The sequence below is a fragment of the Homo sapiens genome, chromosome 9, assembly GCF_000001405.40.
Source record: "Homo sapiens chromosome 9, GRCh38.p14 Primary Assembly".
NCBI lineage: Eukaryota > Metazoa > Chordata > Mammalia > Primates > Hominidae > Homo > Homo sapiens.
Window position 1 is genome coordinate 75,925,024 of NC_000009.12, and position 23,137 is coordinate 75,948,160.

At 40.3% G+C, this 23,137-nt stretch overlaps 1 protein-coding gene across 8 annotated transcripts in view; it reads left to right on the top strand.

The window, feature by feature from the left end:
* Nucleotides 1-23,137, top strand: part of PCSK5 (proprotein convertase subtilisin/kexin type 5) — a 473,167-nt gene that overhangs the window by 35,215 nt on the left and 414,815 nt on the right. For all 8 annotated transcript variants that reach the window (NR_120409.2, XM_047423454.1, NM_001372043.1 and 5 more), the window contains exon 2: nt 7,356-7,460. Coding sequence is in view for 7 of the 8 variants with exons in the window: in NM_001372043.1 (NP_001358972.1) it covers nt 7,356-7,460 (105 nt within the window). In the remaining variant the exon portion in view is untranslated. The remainder of the gene's footprint in view (nt 1-7,355; nt 7,461-23,137) is intronic.

A 23,137-nucleotide genomic window follows, 5' to 3' on the forward strand; every position in this document is an offset into this window, starting at 1 on the left:
AGCAGTTCATCAGATTGCTGCATTTCCTTGACTTTTGACTTACTATTTTAAAATTAATTCAATAGCCTTGTTATAAGTATGATTTTTGTTCAGTGATTTGAAGAAATCATTAACTGTGATGGGATGAGGGAGGGGACTGAGAAATATAGACAGACTTTGATGATTATGTGGTTATTGGTGATACATTCTTAATTTCAGATATATTTTTATTCATTCCCCATGTATTTACTAAGCATAGAGCCTATGTTACATTATATGTCAGTGATTTACCCAAAAAGGGCTATAAAAGAATGAGCAGGAAACTTTCACTAAGGTTTAGAGACATGCCCACTGTTATTTCGAGTTCCTCAATGCCAGGGGCTATTCATTCATTGCTTTATTCTACTCGTTTATTGAGTGTGCCTGGCACTGTTAATAGGAGGTGAGACTAATCCAGCAGTGAATAAAACAAAAATCTGCCCTTATGGGGCTAACATTCTAGTGGGGAAAGACCGACAATAAATGGGTCATGTAAGTGTTATGGAGAAAAATAAATCAGGGTATGGGGTATGCCAGAGGGGCAACAGTAATTTTAAATTGGGTGGTCACAGAAAGCCTCCCTAAGAAGGTGGCCTTTGAGAAGTGAGGAAGTGTGAGTCCTGGAGATTTCTGGAGGAGCATTTCAGGCAGAAGGAAGGAGGTGCAAGGGCCCCAAGATTGGGAATGCTCTTGGTGAGTAAGGAAAGCAATCGTGGCCTCCTCCTTATGGATTCTCCTTTGAATGTTATGGAGTTTAGAACACAGAAGGCAAGTAGTTACAATTATTTTAACATTCTCACATTTAGCCAAGTGCTAAGGAAGCATCACACTTAAATTTTAATGAAGAGAAAACAGTATCTCATCACTGCCTCTGTAACTTTCTGTCTAAATCAGAAATGAGTTTAACAAGTGGAAGTTTCGGACTTTTCAGTTTTGAGTATTGGGAAGAGGTTCGTCAACAAGAACAATGGTCTTGATGACTTGGTTCTCCCCCATCTCACCTGAGCAGGTAGGAACAAGTGTGAGCTGGCGGACACATTCCAGCTCCACATCATGGATTCTTTCATTTCCCAATTCTTTCATTTCCCCATTCTTTCATTCATTGTTTCATTTCCCAATCGCTAAGTCACTCTATGGATTGCAAAGAAATAACCAGAATTCAGAAAAGGGGAATTTATAACTTTTTTGAGATCATCGGTTATTGAGGTATAATTTACATATCCCAAATGCAGCCAGTCCTGTATATAGTTGGCTGAGTGCTGACAAATGTATATACCCAGTGATGTGCTGATAAATAGTTAACTGGCCCTTTATGGAGAAAAGGAAGCCCTAATTTGTGACCTTTGCCAGTTTTTTGTGATGTAAATACTTCTATCCTTGTTGATGTTAAGTCATCAACCTGCTGTCACTTAATAGGGTGCTGGGAAAAGATGTATTTGGTTGTTAGAAGGCGATGAGGAGGAGCTGTTTCCAGCACACACCTTTGCACTTTATGGGATTACCATAATCAAAATGCAAAACATTCTCAGCATGGTTCTCCAGGCATCTCCCAGCCTGTTCCCACTCCACACCCAGGCTATCACTGATCTGTTTTCATTCACTATACAGTAGGTTTATCTGTCTTAGAATTTTATGTTAATGGAATCATATGGTATGCACGTTTTTGTGTTAACATATTTTGAAATGTATTCATGATTGATTGTTCCTCTTAATTGTTTTTCATTACTGGGTATCATTCTATTATATGCCGTATGATCTTTATTTTATCCTGTTATATTCTATTTTATACTTTATGAAAATAAGATATGGTACATGTAGTTTTTCATTCACCTATTGATGGACATTTGCATTGTTTCCAGTTTGGGGCTACTATTAAGAAAATTCTGTGAACGTTTATGAGTTTTGTCTAGAAATAATGTTTTAATTTCTTTTGGGTAAATACCTAGAAACAAAATGCCTAGATCGTGAGGAGAGTGTATGTTTCATAAATGGCCAAATGGTTTTCCAAAGACGTTGAACAATTTTATACTCCTATTAGCAATATATGAGAATTCTCATGCCCCACAATCTCATTAAAACTTGGTATTGCCTGTCTTGTTAATGTTAGCCATTCTAGTGTGTGTGCAGTGCTATTATGATTTTAATTTTCATTCAAGCATCCTTTCATGTGCGTATTGGCCATTTGTATATCTTCTTTTGTGAGATGTCCATTCAAGCTTTTGCCCCTTTGGTTAATTTGTTTGTAGAATGGAGGCAAATAACTTTTCAAAAAGGAGGTACAGAATTTGGAGGAATCTATAAATTGAAGAAGGCAGGAGGGAAAACCAAGCAGAGAAGAAGCCCAAGAGAACTGACAGGTTCCTCAAGGTGGCCACAGTGCTGGTGACCCCAGCTTCATAACTAGGTGACCAACTGTCCCTATTTCAGCACTGAAAAATCCTGTGTCCCAGGAAATTCCTTAGTCTTGGGTAAACTGTCTGTGGGGGTTGGCTGGTCACCTTGCATAACTATGTACAAGGAAGCTGCAAACTCTGTGCAAGGAGGCATTAGACTGTTGAGGGGTTTCGCTGCATGCTCAGGTGAAGCTGCCAGTGGTGAATGATTTCTGAAAGGCCACACAGCTCCTCATCAGGGGCAAAGCCAGTGTTAACACGTGGGTCTCAGCTGTCTGTTCAAAAGTCATCAGCTTGCTTGTGATATGAAAATTTAGGAACATTGGGAAGGTGTCCTCCTGCTGCTAGAAAAAAAAGTAAACCAAAAACTTCGGTGATTATTTTTTGAAATTACAGGCTCTGTGAACTCATTTATTTGGCTCAAGTTTTAATTTTCTGATCAAATGCAGTTTTCCCTGAAAGAACTGAAACATTGAATCTACCAGTCATTTATTAGTATAAAATAGTTTACAACGCCTTTCCTAAGAACACACTTTGGTTCTAGAAAGGATAGAGATAGGAAAATTCTGGGTGCAAGGGTGACGGGCTATCATTCAGGAAGAAAAAGCACAAAAACTTGACAGAATTAGGAACAAGAGATGACATTCATTGACTTAGAGTTGTGTGTAGAGTTGTGTTAGTGTGTGACTGTACAGAAGAGGAGCTTTAGAGGGCTAAGAGGGAAGAAATTATTCTCTCTTTCCTTTATGTAGCTAGCTTTAAGGAAAAGGTTGGGCTTTGCACTATTTGCTATCGATTTTATACTTCATATACTCCTATTGTTTCTGATTTATTTATAAGATATCCCCATGTTAGTTATATATTGTTCCTTGTTTCAGTCCTCGCTGCTATTGAATAACGTAACCACAATCAGCTTTTGTTTTACATTACCCCAGAGAAGCTAGATGGAATGCCTGCTTATAGATAATATCACTGCTGTTTTCATACACTGCCTTTCTTTTGAATAACTTCCAACATGTTGTGACATTTTTCTTCTTAATATTTATTAAATGCCCAACAGCATGTTGGTGCTTGTTGAAAGAATATAAAAGATAATTCTCTTCAGTAAGGGACATGCATATTAATAGATGAGAGACATAAACATGCTTTTACATATAAATACATATATATATATATATATATATATATATATATATATATATATAATCCTAGAAGGTGATAGATTATTTTGTTTGGTTGGGGCAGAGTAATTGAACTAAGGCACTTTACGCTTTAGCTGTTATCTTGCAAACAAAATGAAAGAAAATAAAGGGTAGAGATGTCTCAACCCACAACTTTCAGAACCTTGGAAGAGTTGGTACTGCAATTAAGGTAGAACTAAACCATTTTTGCTGAAATTAGCCTTAATGTGATAATTCTTTGATACTCATACTAGAGATTTTGAGCTGTATGTAGCTCTACTGTATGTGGTTTCAGTAATTTAAGGATTCTGATATTTATTTATTTATTTATTTATTTATGAGACACAGTCTTGCTCTGTCACCAGGCTGGAGTGCAGTGGCACGATCTCGGCCCACTGCAACCTCCGCCTCCCTGGTTTAAGCAATTCTCCTACCTCAGCCTCCCGAGTAGCTGGGACTACAGGCGTGTACCACATGCCCAGCTAATTTTTGTATTTTTAGTAGAGATGGGGTTTCACCATGTTGGCCAGGATGGTCTTGATCTCTTCACCTCATGATCCCCCTACCTCAGCCTCCCAAAGTGATGGGATTACAGGCGTGAGCCGCCGTGCACAGCTGGATTCTGATTTTTAGGCCATTCATTCAGCAGTCTTTAATGAGATTCTATTCTGTGTTGAGCCATGCACTAGGAGCTGGGAATAAAATGGTGAGCAAAACAGATGTTTTCCTGTCTCAATGGAACATATGGGCTGATGGGGACACAGGCATTAAACCAGTATTTGTACTAATTAAGGTATAACTAGAGGTGCATATTCTTATGATTCTATTAATATGAGATGGTATAATTAATGATGCTGACCTTGCCTGGGGAGTTTTGGAAGACTTCCTACTTGAGACACAAACTATGAGGAAGAGGAGTTCAGCTGGAGAGGGTCCACCCTCTCCCTCCAGCTGCAGTAGGGGAGGTGCCGCAGGTGGAGGGAGCAATGAGCTTGACACAGTCAAGGAATGGAAGGAAGGCCATCATAGCTAGTGTATTAGTCCATTTTCATGCTGCCGATAAAGACATACCCAAGACTGGACAATTTACAAAGGAAAGAGGTTTAATGGACTTACAGTTCCACGTAGCTGGGGAGGCCCCACAATCATGGAGGAGGGTGAAAGGCACGTCTCACATGACAGCAGACAAGAGAAGAGAATGAGGGCCAAGCGACAGGGGTTTCCCCTTATAAAACTGTCAGATCTCTTTTTTTTTTTTTTTTTTTAAGACAGAGTCTCACTCTGTTGCCCAGGCTGGAGTACAGTGGCACGATCTTGGCTCACTGCAACCTCCGCCTCCCAGATTCAAGTGATTCTTCTGCCTCAGCCTCCTGAGTAGCTGGGATTACAGGCATGTGCTACCACGCCCAGCTGATTTTTGTATTTTTAGTAGAGACGGGGTTTCACCATGTTGGGCAGGCTGGTCTTGAACTTCTAACCTCAAGTGATCCAGCTATTTCGGCCTCCCAAAGTGCTAGGGTTATAGGCATGAGCCACTGTGCCCAGCTGATCTCTTGAGACTTATTCACTACCATGAGAACAGTATGGGGGGAACCCACCCCATGATTCAGTTATCTCCCACTGGGTCCCTCCCACAACATGAGGGAATTATGGGAGCTACAATTCAAGATGAGATTTGGGTGGGGACGCAGCCAAACAATATCAGCCAGAGTACAGAAAGAATGCTGGTCAGTGTGATTTGAGGTGAGGCCAGAGAGAGGCTGGGCCAGACCACACAGGCCCCTAGGTCGGAGGAGGAGAATGGTCTATTCAGTGAGTTAGATGAAGCGTACGGAATAGTTCCCTGGCATGGTGTGAATAAAAGTTTAATACAATATTATTATTCTGATTTACTTTTAAAAACTATATTATGAAATAGTATTAATTGTTGACTGATACTATTTATTTTGAGGGCAAAGGGAATCCACTAAAGGATTTTAGGCAGGGGTAGGCCATAGAACACAGCCAGATTTGTATTTTGAAAGCCTCATTCCAGCTACTGTGTAGAAAACAGATATGAGAGGGGGTTGTTCTGTGACGATCTTCCTTATGGAAATTCTGTTTCTTTCCACGAGAACTACTGTATTTACCAAAGAGTGCTTTTGACAAAAGTTACAGGAGATGACAACTCTAAGCTTCTTGGGATTTTAAGGTTTTCTTGTAAAGGATTATGCAACCACTCCTGAATTCTACCCTTAGTCCTCTGGAATCTTAAAATGGGCCTGTAAAACCCTCCTTAAAACACTCCTGGAGGCTGGGGCTGGCATCTGTGCCCTCTTCCTCATTGTTCACTGCTGCTTCAGAGTCCAGGATCATTGAGATGAGAGGCTTCCCCGCCTGCATTCCCCGCTTGTTTTCAGAGTGCAGGATTTCATCTGTGTAGGTCAGAGCAGTTTCCACTTGAATAAAAAATGTGAGACTTAGACTTTGTTTCAAATCTTAATGATGAGACATTCAATTACTGTGTAAAGCCCTAGTGAGGACATGATTTCTAAATAGCACAGAAATTGAGTGGGATGGTGGTTGAGAACGTGATGAACAGAAGGGAAAGAGAAATAAACTTTTTATCTGGAAAAATTAACATGGGCCAAGACTTTTTTTTTTTTTTTTTTTTAAATTAGGAAAGCTGAACTTTTGACTTGTCCCAACTGGAAAACATCCTGATGATAGTTATTATTTTAGGGCAGAGCCGTGGATGTCCTGGAGAAATAGCTACTATAGTATTTGCCTAAAGCATGTGAGTGTCAAAGAATGGAATCTGGGCGCTGCAGTGGTCTTGGAAATTAACTAGCCCAAAGTCCAATTTTATAGAAAAGGAAAACAGAGACTTAGTGTATGTTATTTAGCTCTGGTGAGTGTCAGCTGGAATTAGAACCAAGCTCTTCTGTCTTCAATGCATAGTTCAATTTTCATTCTATGATCCACATTTTATAATTTGCTGAGAAAATATGGTTGGTTGAGGTTTTGCTAGTTTGCTTTCCCAAAGTGGACAGGGGCTTATTTTCAAAGCCATCCTAAACAGACCTAACTGAGGAAAGGTGTATGTAAATGAGAGGACTAGAATGTTAGAGAAACGGATAAGATAAAGTAGAACCAACTGTTTTTATACAGGAAGCTTAGCTGATAGGTAGGATGTATGTTTTTGTCTTGTTTTAGATATTGCGATTTTACTTTTAGTTTTGCAATAAATGCATAATCTATATATTTATACTGTCTACAGAAGTCACAAACAAACGAAGTCATGTTATCTTTGTGAATGATCAATTGCTTAAGACATATTTCAAATTAACTGTATAAATAATCTAACAAGGTCCTTCATTGTACATTTCTCAGAGCAAACAAAATGCAATGTGTTTTTATAACTAGATAGCTATTTGATTTTCCCCCCTCTTTCCCACATTTGGGTATAGATTGATATAGAATTACTTAAAATGCTGCATATAAATTAAACATTAAAAGGAGATTTGGAGAGGCTAAGCTGCCCCATTATAATCTTCAGTTCCGCAGTCACTGCCTCAAGGACACTCCATTTCATATCACATGTCTTTCTTTTGAAAAGTGATCACCAAGGTTCAGGTAACATTTAAGCACAGCCAGCAGCTGCATAATTTATGGACCTTTTTTGTTTTGTGTTCCTTTTTAAATGAAAAACAGGAAAACAGAAGACGGTTTTCACACATTAATGTCTTTTTTTTGTTCTTTCCTTCCCACCCTTCCTTTGCAGATAGGGGCCCTGAAGGACTACTACCACTTCTACCATAGCAGGACGATTAAAAGGTCAGTTATCTCGAGCAGAGGGACCCACAGTTTCATTTCAATGGAACCAAAGGTAAGAAGAACCAGTTGCGTGGGGACCAAGAGGCAAAGCTTCTGCATTTTTCATTGGTAATAACACACTAGGGGCTGAGGACCAGCATGAAGGCTCAGATTTCTAGAACTGTCATATTATCCTTTGGTCTAGTGTCTATGCTTCCTCTTTAGACAAAACTAGGCAGTGGCTTGATTTTTATTGATCTGCCACTATCATCCCAGTTGTAGAGTAGCCCAGGGGTATCCATAGCTATGGGTTCTCATGGAGAGGTGAGAGGGGAATAGGGAGTGGGGAAGACAGAGTTTGATTGAGAATGATTGAACTGTTAACAATACCATACTGTCTACCTATTTGCATACAGATCTGAGGTTGTATGAGCTCCACAAAAGGAGGGGTTTCTTCCAGAACCCTTAGGTCAGGGGTACAGATCACCGTGAATCCTCATGATTTTACTTGGCACTGATAGACCCACACCATTGGCAGCCTCAGGACTAGACTGTGTCTGGAACAGGTGGGATACTGAACACAGAAAGGGGAGAAGCTGACTCCTGCTCTTGGGGCCTCATCAGGTATCTTTCTTGTGCCAAGTCCTTTTGGGTTTTCCAGACGACGTACCCCTGGGAGAGCCTAGAAGCAAGCATGCTATGCCTAGGTTCTCCCGTTTTAGAGAAGTGGAGCAGCTTTGAAATGGGAGATGGGAAGCTGAGGGGTGTCAGGGACAAACTAATAGCCGACAACTAAGACTCTGAGGTCGAGTTCAGTATCTGCCCTTATTAATTAAGTTGGTGGAAGGAATGGAGTTTTGACTGAGAACTAATTGGCCTCTCTGATGTGTCAAGTAAAGGGGAAGAGGGCGCATCTGTACCAACTTGCCCTAGTTCCTCTGTGGGCTCCCTGTGTATTATTGATTGTAGGGTGTTCTTGCTTTTTTCCCCTCCTTACGATTTGGGTTTGCCTTAAGAACTCATTTTCAAAGAAATTGATAGATAAGCCCCTACCAGTGCGCATAGCAATCTCAGCTAGATATCCTCGAAAGTTATATTCCTTATAAAGCAAAAAGGCCCCTGTTTGAATTAATATGCAAATGAGGTTTGCAATATTGCGTCTTGCCCTCAGTTATGTGCTGTAGTTAGCCTTGTTTAATTTTTTTCTGGAATATGTTCATGATTATGAAATTGTAACTTGGCTAGCGAAAGCACATACTTTCTATGTCCCTATTTTCTGTGGGTTATAGGAATATCCCCTAATACATTTTCATGGTCTGTGGATTACACATTTTTTCCTTTGTCACTATTCAGAATTGAATTTTTCTGGAAAGGCAGTCCATTTGGGACATTCATGAATTAGCTGCATTTTCAAAGCAAAGTCATATTTTTCATCTCAAACTTTTTTGAAGCTTTTCTTGAACTTTGGTAATTAAAACGACGCTAATTTCAGACCTCATGTACAAAATCAATGTGAATTTGAAAAACCAAGTACTAGTGGTTTGGGAAGTAAGAACAGAATGTTATGAGGCATTATTTTCATGATGAAGGATTTACTGAACATGGAGCTATTTCGATCCTTCTTGTTATCTTGGGGCATCTTGGTGTTTATTTCTTCTTATCTCAGTGCATCACATGGCTTATGCGTGATCCGACAGAGACCTTGTATGCTAGGACACATAGTACCTGGAATGCACTCCTATTTCAGGAGAGTGGGGCCATTGCAGGCCAGCCCAAGGGTACATGCTGCACTCCCCTGCCTCCTCAATAAAAATAATCCCTCAGAGTAGAGCCACAACTTACTCTCCATTCCAATGCCGTCTGCTCATCGTTCCCACCTAGCATTTACACAGGACAGCCACGGTTCCTACCAGCTTTGCAGAGAGAGAGCCACAAATTGGGGTTTGCCCACACTTTCGGATCTTTCTTGTAGTTCATTTATTCTTTGGCCCTTTTTCGAGCCCCTAGCATATGCCAGGCCCTGTGTTAGCCTCCGGGATTTGGAGACACATTGGTGCCCTAAGGGAGCTTGCTGCTTTCAGGGAAGACCATCCAGGACATTGCAGTGCTTCTCAGTGTTGGGGGTTGGGGGAGCAAAGGACATTGGGGGTTCCTAAGTTTTTTTGTTTTTTTTTTTAAATTTTTTTTTTAAACAGAGTCTCACTCTTATTGCCCAGGCTGGAGTGCAATGGCGCGATCTCAGCTCACTACAACCTCCAACTCCCGGGTTCAAGCGATTCTCCTGCCTCAGCCTCCTGAGTACCTGGGATTACAGGTGCCTACCACTACCCCTGGCTAATTTTTGTATTATTAGTAGAGATGGGGTTTCACCATGCTGGCTAGCGACCTCAAGTGGTCTGCCTGACCTCAAGTGATCTGCCCGCCTCAGCCTCCCAAAGTGCTGGGATTACAGCTGTGAGCCACCATGGCTGGCCTTGTTTTTTTGTTTGTTTGTTTTAATTTTCAGAAACTTTTTATTTACAGAGAATTTGCAAACATGAAAATGTTACAAAGAATTTCTATATACTCTTCCTAGATTCCCCAAATGTTAATGTTTTACATTTTACCACACTTAGTTGATCATTCTTTCTGTCTACACACACATGTACACATTTTTTTATTTTTATTTTATTTTTGAGACAGAGTTTCGCTCTGTCACCCAGGCTGGAATGCAGTGGCACGATCTCGACTCACTGCAACCGCTGTCTCCCGTTTTCAAGCAACTGTCTTGTCTCAGCCTCCTGAGTAGCTGAGACTACAGGTGCATGCCACCACGCCCAGCTAATTTTTTGTATTTTTAGTAGAGACAAGGTTTCACTGTGTTAGCCAGGACGGTCTTGATCTCCTCTCCTCGTGATCCACCCTCCTCGGCCTCCCAGAGTGCTGGGATTACAGGCGTGAGCCACTGAGCCCGGCCGATATTCACATGTATACGTATGTAAGGTATGCATATATATACATTTTCTGAACATTTGGGATCAACTTACAGATATGATGCGCCTTCAATTCTAAATAATTCACTGTGTATTTATTTAAAATAAGGACATTCTTTTTTATAACCGTAAGTATAACAATAAAAATCTGGCTATTAATATTAACTTAATATTATCTAATCTACAGACTTTATCCAAATTTTTTGATTGCCTCTTTTCAGGGCCAGGAACACATTTAGTTGTCATGTTTCCCGAGTCCTCTTTACTCTGTCATATTTCTTCAGCTTTCTTTTTTTTTCTTTCATAAGCTAGAAATCATTTAACAAGTACAAGCCAGTTATTTTGTAGAATATTTCTCAAGTTGGGTTTGTCTGTTTCCTCATGATTAGATTCAGGTTTGGCAAGAACATTTTTGGCAAGAATATCAGAGAAGTGATGTGTTCTTCTCAGTACATCAGATTGAGAGGCACATGATACTGCTTTGTTTCATTACTGGTAGTGTTAACTTTGAACAAATGGTAAATATCGTATCTGCCAGTTTCTCTACTTTAAAATTACTACAAGCACACCTCAGAGATAGTGCAGTTTGGTTCTGGACCTCTTCAATAAAGCAAATATTGTAATAAAGCAAGTCACACTAATTGTTTTCCAACGCATATAAAAGTTATGTTCATACTATCCTGTAGTCTATTAAGTGTGTAATAGCATTACGTCTGAAAAATGTACATACCTTAATTAAAAAATACTTTATTGCTAAAATTTTCTAATGATCATCTGAGCCTTCAGTGAGCCATAATCTTTCTGCTAGTGGAGGGTTTTGCCTCAATGTTGGTGGCTGCTGACTGCTCAGGGTGGTGGTTGCTGAAGGTTGGGATGGCTGTGGCAATTTCTTAAAATCCAACAACAATGAAATTTGCCATATCAGTTGACTCTGTGTTTGCCAACACAGTTGTAGTCACAAAAGATTTCCCTGTAGCATGCAATGCTGTTTGATAGCATTTTACCTGCAGTAGAACTTCTTTCAAAATTGGAGTCAATCCTCTGAAACCCTGCCACTGCTTTATTAACTAAGTTTATGTCATGTTTTAAATTCTCTGTTGTCATTTCAACAATGTTCACAGCATCTTCACCAGTAGATCCCGCTTTCTTTGCTTAACCATAGGAAGCAATTCCTTACCTGTTCAGGTTTTATCATGAGATTGCAGCAATTCAGTCACATCTTCAGGCTCCACTTCTAATTCTAGTTCTCTTGGTGTTTCTATCACATATCACATCTGCAGTGACTTCCTCCACTGAAGTCTTGCATTCCTCAAAGTCATCCATGAGGGTTGGAATCAACTTCCATCAAACTCCTGTTAATATTGCTATTTTGACCTCCCCTTATGAATCAAGAACATTCTTAATAGCATCTAGAATGGTGAATGCTTTCCAGAAAGTTTTCAGTTTACTTTTCCAGATCCATTAGAGGAAACACTATCTATCAGAGCAGTAGCCTTACAAAATCTATTTCTTAAATACATTTGAAAGTAGACATTACTCCTTAATCCATGAACTGCAGAATGATGTCGTGTTAGCAGGCATGAGAACAGTAATCTCCTTGTAAATTTCCATCAGTGCTCTTGGGTGACTAGGTACATTGTCAGTGATCAGTAATAGTTTGAAAGGAACCTTTTTTTAGTGATAGGTCTCAACAGTTGGCTTAAAATATTCAGTAAACTATGCTGTAAACAGATGTGCTGTCATCCAGGCTTTGTTGTTCCACTTATGGAGCACAGGCAGACTAGATTTAGCATAATTCTTTTTTTTTTTTTTTTTTTAAAGAGTCTCGCTCTGTCACCCAGGCTAGAGTGCAATGGCACGATTTCAGCTCACTGCAACCTCCGCTTCCCGGGTTCAAGTGATTCTCCTGCCTCAGTCTCCTGAGTAGCTGGGATTACAGGCATCTGCCACTATGCCTGGCTAATTTTTGTATTTTTAGTAGAGACAGGGTTTCACCATGTTAGTCAGGCTGGTCTTGAACTCCTGACCTCAGGTGATCCTCCTGCCTTGGCCTCCCAAAGTGCTGGGATTACAGCTGTGAGCCACCACTCTCAGCCCTCCATTTAGCATCATTCTTAAGGGCCCTAGGATTTTTTAGAATGGTAAATGAGCGTTGGCTTCAACTTGAAGTCACCAGCTCCGTTAGCCCCTAACACGAGAGGTATCCTATCCTTTGAAGCTTTGAAGCCAGGCACCTGCTTCTTTCTAGTGTGAAAGTCATAGGTGGCATCTTCTTTCAACAGAAGGCTGTTTTATTTCATCTACATTGAACATCTGTTGTTTAGTGTAGCTGTCTTCATCATTGATCTTAGCTGGATCTTCTGTATCACTTGCTGCAGCTTCTCATCAGCACTTGCTGCTTCACCTTGCACTTTTATGTTACAGAGACAGCTTCTTTCCTTAAACCTCATGAACCAACCCCTGCTAGCTTCATACTTTTCTTCTGCAGCTTCCTTACGTCTCTCAGCCTTCTTAGAATTGGAGAGTTAGGGCATTGCTCTGGATTAGGCTTTGGCTGAAGGAAATGTTGTGGCTTGTTTGGTCTTCTATCCAGACCACAAAAACTTTCTCCCTATCAGCAATAAGGCTGTTTCTCTTTCTTATCATCTGTGCGTTCATGAGAGTAGCACTATTTAATTTCTTTTAAGAACTTTTCCTTTGCAGTCACAGCTTGGCTGTTTGGCTCAAGAGGCCTGGGTTTCTGCCTATGCTGGCTTTCGACATGTCTTTCTTACCAAGTGTAATCATTTCTAGCTTTTGATTTAAGTGAGACCGGAGTGACTCTTCCTTTCATTTGAACACTTAGAGGCCATTGTAGGGTTATTAATTGGCCCAATTTCAATATAGTTGTATCTTAGGAAATAAGGAGGCCTGGGGAGAGGGAGAGAGATGGTGAACAGCCAGTCAGTCTAGAGCAGTCAGAACAAACGCAACATTTATTGATTAAGTTCACTGTCATATGGGTGAGGTTTGTGGCACCCTAAAACAATTACAATAGCAACATCAAAGATCATTGATCACAGATCACCACAACAGATATAATAACATTGAAAAAGTTTGAAATATTGCAATAATTACCAAAATGTGACCCAGACACACGAAGTGAGCACACGCTGTTGGAAAAATGGCACTGACAGGCTTGCTCGATACAGGATTGCCACAAATCTTCAATTTGTAAAAAGCGCAATATCTGCAAAGTGCAATAAAGAGAAGTGCAATAAAACAAGGTATGCCCGTATTTTCCCTTCTCCAATTAATAAGTGTTTTGTGGGAAAATACTTAGAGACTGCAAATTTCTACAAGCTCATTTTTTATTTTTTACTCCCAGCTGACTTCATTGGGCATATAAGGCAAGTGTTGGTGTGACAAGGTTTCTTGGGCAGGTCTCTTTCCTTTATCTTGGATGTGGATAGGGTGGGTGATTTGTGTGCCAGAGTGGGGGTACATTTGTGGGTTTGGACCATGTGAAATGGCTTCGTGGAAAATTGATGATGCAACCTTAAAGTTATTTTTGATCATCACCTTCTCAAGAAAGGAAAAACACGTGAGTGAATTGTAGGGGATACACACACTAAACAGATCCTGGCTTTTACTTACTATAGTAAATTGCACACTCCCTTTTCCCCCTCCTTTTATTCTTTACTTACAAGGCTCCAAAGAAGGAAATGCAAAAGTAGCCACATTGTAAGAGCAACCCTCTTGGTGCTAAGAAAATGATGTGGTCAGTTTGGGCACATGAGCCCAGAGAACAAGAATAGCCTTGAGTCACACATATAATGTGTGTTAACATTATGTTATGATTAACTTTTTAAATAACAGAGATTCACAGACTTCTAACATAGAAGCACTAGGGCAATAATAACACAGTTTTGCAGAAAGTGCTGTTATATTTTATAGCAGTCTGCCCAATAAGGCTTTCATCCTTCTTGTCCACATCTTTCTTTTTGACTTGACAACATTTCTCTGAGAGATCTAAGCTAAATTTTAGAAACAATAGTCTGAGTTCACGTTTTCAAAGCCTCTTACTAGTCTGTTTATAAATTTTGGTGAGCCACAAACATTTGGGTCAAGGACAGTGTTATCTGTAGGAGAATATTGGATGGAAGCTCTTTAGTTGCTCATGGAGTTGGAAGGGTGTGAGGGGGAGTGCGGAGAAGATCATTTTCTTTCATTTTCCTTCCCCTTATCCAAAAACAGAAAAACTAAAATCCTAACTTTTCTAGTAGGGTAGGGCATATTTGACTTTTAAAAATAAAAACCATAAACTGCCATTAAGTTAGACACCCATGCGCTATGCATATGTGGTTAATTACATAAGCATAGCTTCCCCTTTTTCCCATTAGATTTTATCTTGAAGGTTCTAGCCTATCAATCTTTTATCTTTTCCATTCCTTTTTCTATCCTCAAATCTATTATGGGCCAGTTTTTATCCAAGACTAAGACAGTGTCACTCCCTCCGATGAGTAAGCAATGGGCATCTCCCATCTTGTCGCTCCCTACGTTCACCTCAGCCAGCCTGCCTCATCACGTGGATGTGTGTGGCTGCGTTTCTCACTTGGAAAAGCTATTCATATAACATTACTTATTGTGGAATCACAGACTCCTTAGAATTAGAGTTGATTTAGTCTTATCACTTTACTATCCAATGCTGCCATACCATCCATTGTACTTCTAAAAGGAATTTTTTCAGATCTGTTTGAACATTTCCAATCAAAGAGGCTTCACCATCAGACAGGGCAAACATTTCTATATTTTAAGAGATTTAACGTGTTGGTTATAATCTGCTTGCCTGTAACGTCTACCCATCGAGTCTACTTTTGCCTTCCAGAATTCTATACACTCTTAAATCCATTTCTCTATAATAGTTCTTTAAATATTTGAAGCCTTTTGTTTATTCTCTTGGAAAAGCAATTGTCTCCTTATAAGTGTGGCCCAGCATCAAGTTCAAGTCTTTAGCTTCCCATTTGTTACATTTATCCATAAGCCATTTCCTCTGAAGAGAATTTAAAGCAGAGCATTCAAGCATTGTGCAATGAGGAAAGGGCATAGGAAAAGGACAGGAAGGGAGAAATGAAGTGATTGGATGTAGCTGGCAGGATCAGATGAACTCAGACCTGTGAAAGAAGAAAAGCAAGTTCAAGTTTCCTACTCATTCAGGCTGGTGCCTGTTGTGCTCAGGATTAGATTTTCAGGTGCCTGGGGTTTCTCTTTTTGCCTCAAGAGTAAAATAGGTGTAATGGAGTAACTGGAGTACAGGAGCACTTCCCTGTACATAATGGAGAGGTTGTGCGCATCTACTCCTTATCAGTCAAATTCCATTTCCCCATGGATTCACTTTATAATTTCAGAAGTATTTTTTCTTTACTACTACTAATTGATCTGTAATTGATCCATGGAGGCAACCATCACATTTGCTATCCTGAACTTGGAGACAAAACCATTTACAAGCTTTTTACATATAGCCGATCTACTAGGTGAACTTTGGAGTTAAAGAACCTTATTTAGTTAAAAATAAGTATTCAGAAGTGTCTGAGGTCAGTCTTAACATGGCTTACATTTCTGCCATGCCTCTTCATTAATTGTGGCCATGCTTTTTCACAAATAATATTTCATGGGGTCTAGCGTAGCTTCAAAGTGAGTTTCACCTGGAGTTCAAGTGCTTCCTGTGTAGGCCACTGCTGCATTGCCTCTCTCCCAGCCTGCCCTCCTTCCAGCGGGCGCTCCTGGGTGTTTTCTTTGGCAGGTTAACGTGCTGCTCTTCAGTTTTAAATGCGATAATGACTTAATGTTTGGGCTTTCTTTTGTGCAGTGCAGTTTTATAAGTGTAATATAACAATCCAGGGTTTGTGCTCATCCAGCTGTGTGGGCTGATCCAGGGTGTGTTGAGATCTGTGGCTTTGGCCTTGTGTTTCTGCACAATGAGGGTGGCTGTGTTTTCTTCGGGTACGTACCTGAGGCTTTGTGTGGTTGCTTAGGAATGGTGATTTCACGTTTGCCTCTCATCATCTTACTGGTAAGTAAAAATGGTTACCAAATATCCTGAGAATGCACTGTATTCTTCTGGAAACAGCATGGGCTTGGATCCAATGACAAGCAGAGAGGCTGCAGATGTGCTGATCAGGAGGGACTTAGGACAGCTCTCTCGTTTCTGGCTACCTTTTTTGCCATGTTTTCACCAGCTATGAATGCGATCATTATAGCAAATCCCTGTCTTTAACATTTGATAGCATTTCTGAGTCTTTGCAAATCCCACTAGAATGCATACACTCTTGGGAGAAGCCTTTCAGCCTTAGATTAGCCCTTGGATCCATTTATGGTGACACGATGATTAGGAGTGTGGAAGAGACCTGAAGAGGCATGTGGGTGCCGGGTCCACTGTGTTCTCCACCTCCCTGTCCTATCGGTTTTGTTTCCAGGTCTCCTAGGTGTCTGGATGGTCAGAAACCAGAGGGTCAGATTGTACGCTGCTGGAATATCTGATGGGAAAGTTTTGATCAAAGACCCAATCTCTTATAGGCAGAAGTAAATTATTTAAAAAATGATTTCTCAGCTACTTTGGCAAGGCTGCCAAATCTTTATTAGAGAGTGCTTGGCAGTACTTCACTTCAAAAGGTCATAAACTCACGTGCCTTGAGTGGTAGTGCAGGTAACATGAGTGAGTGAGAAGGGCCAGGCAGGAGCTCACCGGGCATGCGCCAAAGCGTAGCGCACTCGTTGCCTGCCCGGAGCAGCTGCTACCAACTGAGGCCGGCTGTCCTCAGGCTGCGGAGCTGGCTCGGTGTTGCCAATTTAAAAGGACATGCAAGTCTCGACTTTTACATATCATTTTCCAATTTTAAATATTGGCAACTAGTTCAAAAGTTTAAAAATATTTATGTGGATCAAAGGAAACACATCTTTGGGGCATCCCAGTTTATGACCCCTTGGGTTGGCTGTGTTGGGAGAAAGGGAGAAAGGCGTAAATGACAGATCTCATCACTTTGATGATTTCTCTTTGGTCTGATGCTCACATGGCCACACAATATTAGTTCTGTCAGTTATGTACCACGGTGGGGGCTCAAACATTATTTCTCTCTGTGCCTTTTTAGTTTCCAGATTGAAATATGAGTATCAGGCAAAACATAACAGGCTCAGGTCTTGCAAGTTGTGGAGCGAAGGCTGCCAGTGCACGGTGGCAGAAGGTGGAGGGCTTATTCTTGTTCTCTTCTGCTTTATCCGGTTTTTCACTGACACCTATGACTGCCCTGGGAGACAGGCTTAACAGACTTGTTCGAGGAAGCACCATAAGTTGAAGCAAAGAACAAATGGGAAATAAAAGTGACGGCCATAAAAATAGGAAAAGAGTATGATGAGGGGAGGCAGGTTATGGATTTTGCATAATCTCTTTAGCCACTTGAAGGAAAGATACTAACTATAAAATCTTTACTTTTTCTAGTTGTTGTGGTATTTCTTTTCTTCTTCTTCTTTTTTTTTTTTTTTTTGAGATGGAGTCTTGCTCTGTCACCCACGCTGGAGAGCAGTGGCGCGATCTTGGCTCACTGCAGCCTCTGCCTTCCGGGTTCCAGCTATTCTCCTGCTTCAGCCTCCTGGGTAGCTGGGATTACAGGCGCTCGCCACCACACCTGGCTAATTTTTGTATTTTTAGTAGAGACGGGGTTTCGCCATGTTGGCCAGGCTGGTCTCGAACTCCTGACCTCAGGTGATCCACCCGCCTCTGCCTCCCAAAGTGCTGGGATTACAAGCATGAGCCACCATGCCCGGCCTATGTGATATTTCTAAGATGTCAGATTCTAAAAAGGTAGCTGTTGAAACTAGAAAATGTAATGATAGCATTCTAAATTTCTAGATAGGTATTAAGAAGGGAATTTTGAACCTATAGTTTCTGTTGAAATCTTGGACAAATTAAGATAAAATAAGCAAATCTAGGGAATAAGTGCAAACAGCAAACAAACAAACAAAAACCCAGCAACAACAAAAAACTCAAAGCCAGTTTAATTGTCTGGCTTTGAAGAGAAATTGTACTAATTCATGTCTTTATTTTAATGAATGCAAGAGTAAATAAGAAATCTAATTGAAACACCACCATTGAAAGGACGTTATTTGTTAATTAAATGCTTGCAAATCTTATTTGTATACTGAGTTCTTCCAATTATCAATCAGTTCTTACAATACAAAAGGAGGCAATAAGACGCAGTGGAAAGAACCTTTGTATTGTAGTTCCTACTGTCATTCCTGTAGGGTGAGCTCTACCCATCAATCTTCCCTCACTTGAAGACTTACCATTTTTCATGCATATACTTAGAGAAGTACACAGTGTAATGCAATATAATGAACTGCGCATGTAAGAAAAGATCAAAAGTGTAGGTTAAATCCTTATAACAAAATAGTAAGTTGCCATTAAAATAATGTCATAAATTTATACATTCAGGTAAGAAATGATCCCCAAAATAATATGTAGGCCGAGTGTGGTGGCTCATGCCTATAATCCCAGCACTTTGGGAAGCTGAGGCAAGGGAGGATTGCTTAAGTCCAGGAGTTCGAGACCAGCCTAGGCAACATAGTGAGACCCCGTCTCAACAAAAAATAAAAAAATCAGCTGGGTGTAGTGGCATGGGCCTTTAGTCCCAGGTACTCGGGAGGCTGAAATGGGAAGACCACTTGAGCCAGGGAGGTTGAGGCTGCAGTGAGCCGAGATTACACCACTGCACTCCAGCCTGAGTGACAGAGTGAGACTCTATCTCAAAAAAGAAAGAAAGAAAAAAAATATATATATATATACACATATACATATATATATAAATAAAGTTTTAAAAAGCAGTATATGAAGAGAGTAGAAGATGAAGATGTGTTCCCGTTTATGTTTTACATTTAAACAAAAAAGACCTGTGTGTATGTGGCTATTGTTTTATGCAGGATAGATTTGGAAGGATGCACATATGCATAAAAATAACTCTTAACCTTTCCACAGTGCCTGATTTTTAAAAACGATAGTAAAATTGCTTTTGTTGAAATATCAAAGCAACAATGCTTTGATATTTCAAAGCTAATGGATATATTTCTGTTCTCATCTGACTCCACCTTTCACTTGACATCATGGTTGATAATTTGCTCCTTCTTGAAAAAGTTGACTTGTTTCTTGAGAGCACTTTCCCAGAGTTTTCTTTCTGTCTTTCCCCCTGCACCTTCTGTCTTTGTTGAGGGCACATTTTCTCCCACATGTGTAAAGTTTGGAGAGCCCAGGGCTCAGTCAGCTCTGTTCTTTTCCTAGGGGATTTCATTAATTCCCATTGCTTTAAATCACCATTATGCTGGTGTTCTTGCCTCAAATTTCTATCACCGTTTACCTTCCGGACATCCCCAACTAGATGTTTAATAAGCACCTAAAATGTAATAATAAAAATAACATGTCCAGGCGCGGTGGCTCACGCCTGTAATCCCAGCACATTGGGAGGCCTAGGCAGGCGGATCACCTGAGGTCGGGAGTTCAAGACCAGCCTGACCAACATGGAGAAACACCATCTCTACTAAAAATACAAAATTAGCCGGGTGTAGTGGTGCATGCCTGTAATCCCAACTACTCGGGAGGCTGAGGCAGGAGAATTGCTTGAACTCGGGAGGTGGAGGTTGTGGTGAGCCGAGATCACACCACTGCACTCCAGCCCGGGCAACAAGAGCGAAATTCCATCTCAAAAAATATAAATAAATAAATAAAATAAAACATATAAAAATATAAGAATAACATATAAGATATATGTCATACATATATAATATAACATATAAAATATAATAATAAAAATAACATACGTGGAACTTTTACATTTCTACCTATTACCATGGTCCCCAAGCCTTTTCTTTCCCAGGGAATGGCACCATGATTTATCCATTTTTGCTGAAGCCAAAAATGGAACAGAATCATTCTTGATTCTCTCCCTTTCCCTCGTTTCTCCTCACTGAGTCATCAAGAGATATTGTTGGCCCCACCACTAACATTTATCTTGCAGCTATGAATCTGTGGACTTTCTCCCCCTGCACTGCCACCATCCTGGTTAATTCCACCATCAGTGTTGACCTGGTTAATCCCACCATCAGTGTTGACCTGTTTCACAGCAATTGCCTCTACTTCCACTGCTGTTCTTCTACAGTCATTCTCCACAGAGAGTAAACTTCCAGAGTTCAAAAGAGATTTTTTTTTAATGACTTTATTGATCCTGAAATAAAGTCTAATTTTTTTTAAGTTATCTTCAAGGGCCATTATGATCTAGCCTCTTTCTACCTCTCTGAACTAGTCTTTGACACACCTCCTTTTTGCTCATCACACTTGGCCATATCTCTGTCTCGCTTTCTGTCTCAAGCCCTTTCCCTTGTTTCCCCTGCCTGGAATATGCTTCCTTTGGTCTTTGTATGATGGATGCCTTCTCAGCCTTCATATCACTTCCTTTGAAAGACCTCCCTCAATATCCTTGCTAAGGTAGATCTTTAATCTCACCTGCCCAATTCCTGTCTGCCTTCAGCATGTTAATTTCCTCTTTGATATCTATGTGAATCCAAAACCATATTGTTGATTTGGTGACTGTTGGTTTTCTCATTCTAGGATACAAATTCAATGGAGGCCATGCATCTCATTAACTGTGGTATTCCCATGGCCTGGAACAATATCCAGCACATAGAAAACCTTCAATAGAAGAATACATGAATGAATAAATGACATTTGAAATTAATTTTGGAAGATAAGTGATAGAGGCAATAATAAAGTTTGGAGCTGTAATTTTTTTCTTTATTCTTCTAGTACTGACATCATTTTATGGTGATGTACACGGTACTGTCTCATTTTAAGTATAGACATTAGAGCAACTGGTTGGAGAGAAGACACTGTTATAAAATGAAAGCAACATCAATTGCATTTAGGATATTTGGATTCTGGTCTCAGCTTTACTACTAGCTCAGAGTGGCTATTAGCATGCCACTCCTCTGTGGGCTTATTTCACTTGTAAAATCACGGAGCAGATGAGCTATTTTCTAATGTTCATTCTGATCCATTAATTACCATCTTGAATCAGTGTCACTTGTGATTTTACTATTAGTCCATGTTGCCATCATATTGCTTTTTTCATATTCTCTGTTTTAGTTTCTTTCCAAACTTTCTCCTTCTGCCTTTTTCCTCAATATTTACAATATTTCTTTTTTTGAGACAGAGTCTCACTCTGTCACCCAGACTGGAGTGCAGTGGCGCAATCTCCGCTCACTTCAACCTCTGCCTCTCGGGTTCAAGTGATTCTCCTGCCTCAGCGTCCCAAGTAGCTGGGATTACAGGTGCCCACCACCATGCCAGCTAATTTTTTTGTATTTTTGGTAGAGGCTGGGTTTCACTATGTTGGCCAGGCTGGTCTTGAACTCCTGACCTCGTGATCCACCCACCTCGGCCTCCCAAAGTGCTAGGATTACAGGCATAAGCCACCGCGCCCAGCCAATATTTAAAATATTTCTTAGCACTTTGAGCTCTTCCCCAGATACTGTTTTGCCTTAAAAGGCTAATTTTGCAGATGGACTTGAGATTAACTTGGTTAGTCTTGAGACAGACTTAATACAGATGTTATCTATTCAGCTATGCATATAATAAATGAGGAACAAGTAACGTTGCTTCTTTGTTCCTGCAGTACGTGTTTCTTGCAATATAAGAGAATGATGATGAGAATAATAATAATTGTTATTGCTGGCATTCAGGAAGTTCCAGGAGAAGGTAGTTCCAAATAGCAAAACATTGTACTTAACAGAGGTTCTTCTAAGGAGTTAAAAACTTTATGTGGCTTTTGAAGAAATAGAATACCTTCTAAGACGACAACAACAGTAGAACAAATTTTACAAAGCCATGAAAATTAGAATTAGAAATATATTAGGTGGCCAGTGGTGGTAGAGTCAGGATAGAAAATAGAAGAAACCAAAAATAAAGTCAGATAGAACAAGGGTGGATGCAGTTAATGAAAATTTTTGGTGGTTATGTAGATTACTTTTTAATCCTTTCGCAAAGCTAAGTAAGCATATGAGTTGGCAAGCCTAGGCTGCCATTCCAAGAAAAATTAAAAAAAAAAAGAACCAACAAAAGTGCAAAAGACTAACAGAGTAAATAGGTAAGAAACAGGACTGTGTCCTTAGGCCAGATTTGCTAGGCCCCAACTCAAAGGCAGGTTTTGCTTTAAATGGAATGTTCTAATAATGTCCCTTAGGCTGTGGACATACTTTTCAGACTTACTCCTGGCAGTCATGGGATTCCCTTCTTCAACTCACTTTTGTGCAGAGAAAAAAGAAGATAGAAACTTTGGGAAAAATGAAGTTGTACCTTACATGGGGAAAACTGAAGTCTCCCAGGAATGAGGTAGCATGAGAGAGATACCCAGAGTTCTACTAACCATTCACACATTTGCTTTCTCCATGGATATTTTAGAGACAGGGCCTCATTCTGTCACCCAGGCTGAAGTGCAGTGGTACAATCACAGTTCACTCTGGCCTCAAACTCCTGGGCTCAAGTGATCTTCCCACCTCAGCCTCTTGAGGAGCTGGGACCACAGGCACGTACTACCATGCCCACTTAATTTTTTTTTTAAATTTTTTGTACAGACAGGGTCTCACTAGGTTGGCTAGGCTGGTCTCAAACTCTGGTCCTGAAGCAATCCTCCTGCCTCAGACTCCCAAAGTGTTGGAATTATAGGCATGAGCCATCATGCCTGGCTTCCCCACAGATAAA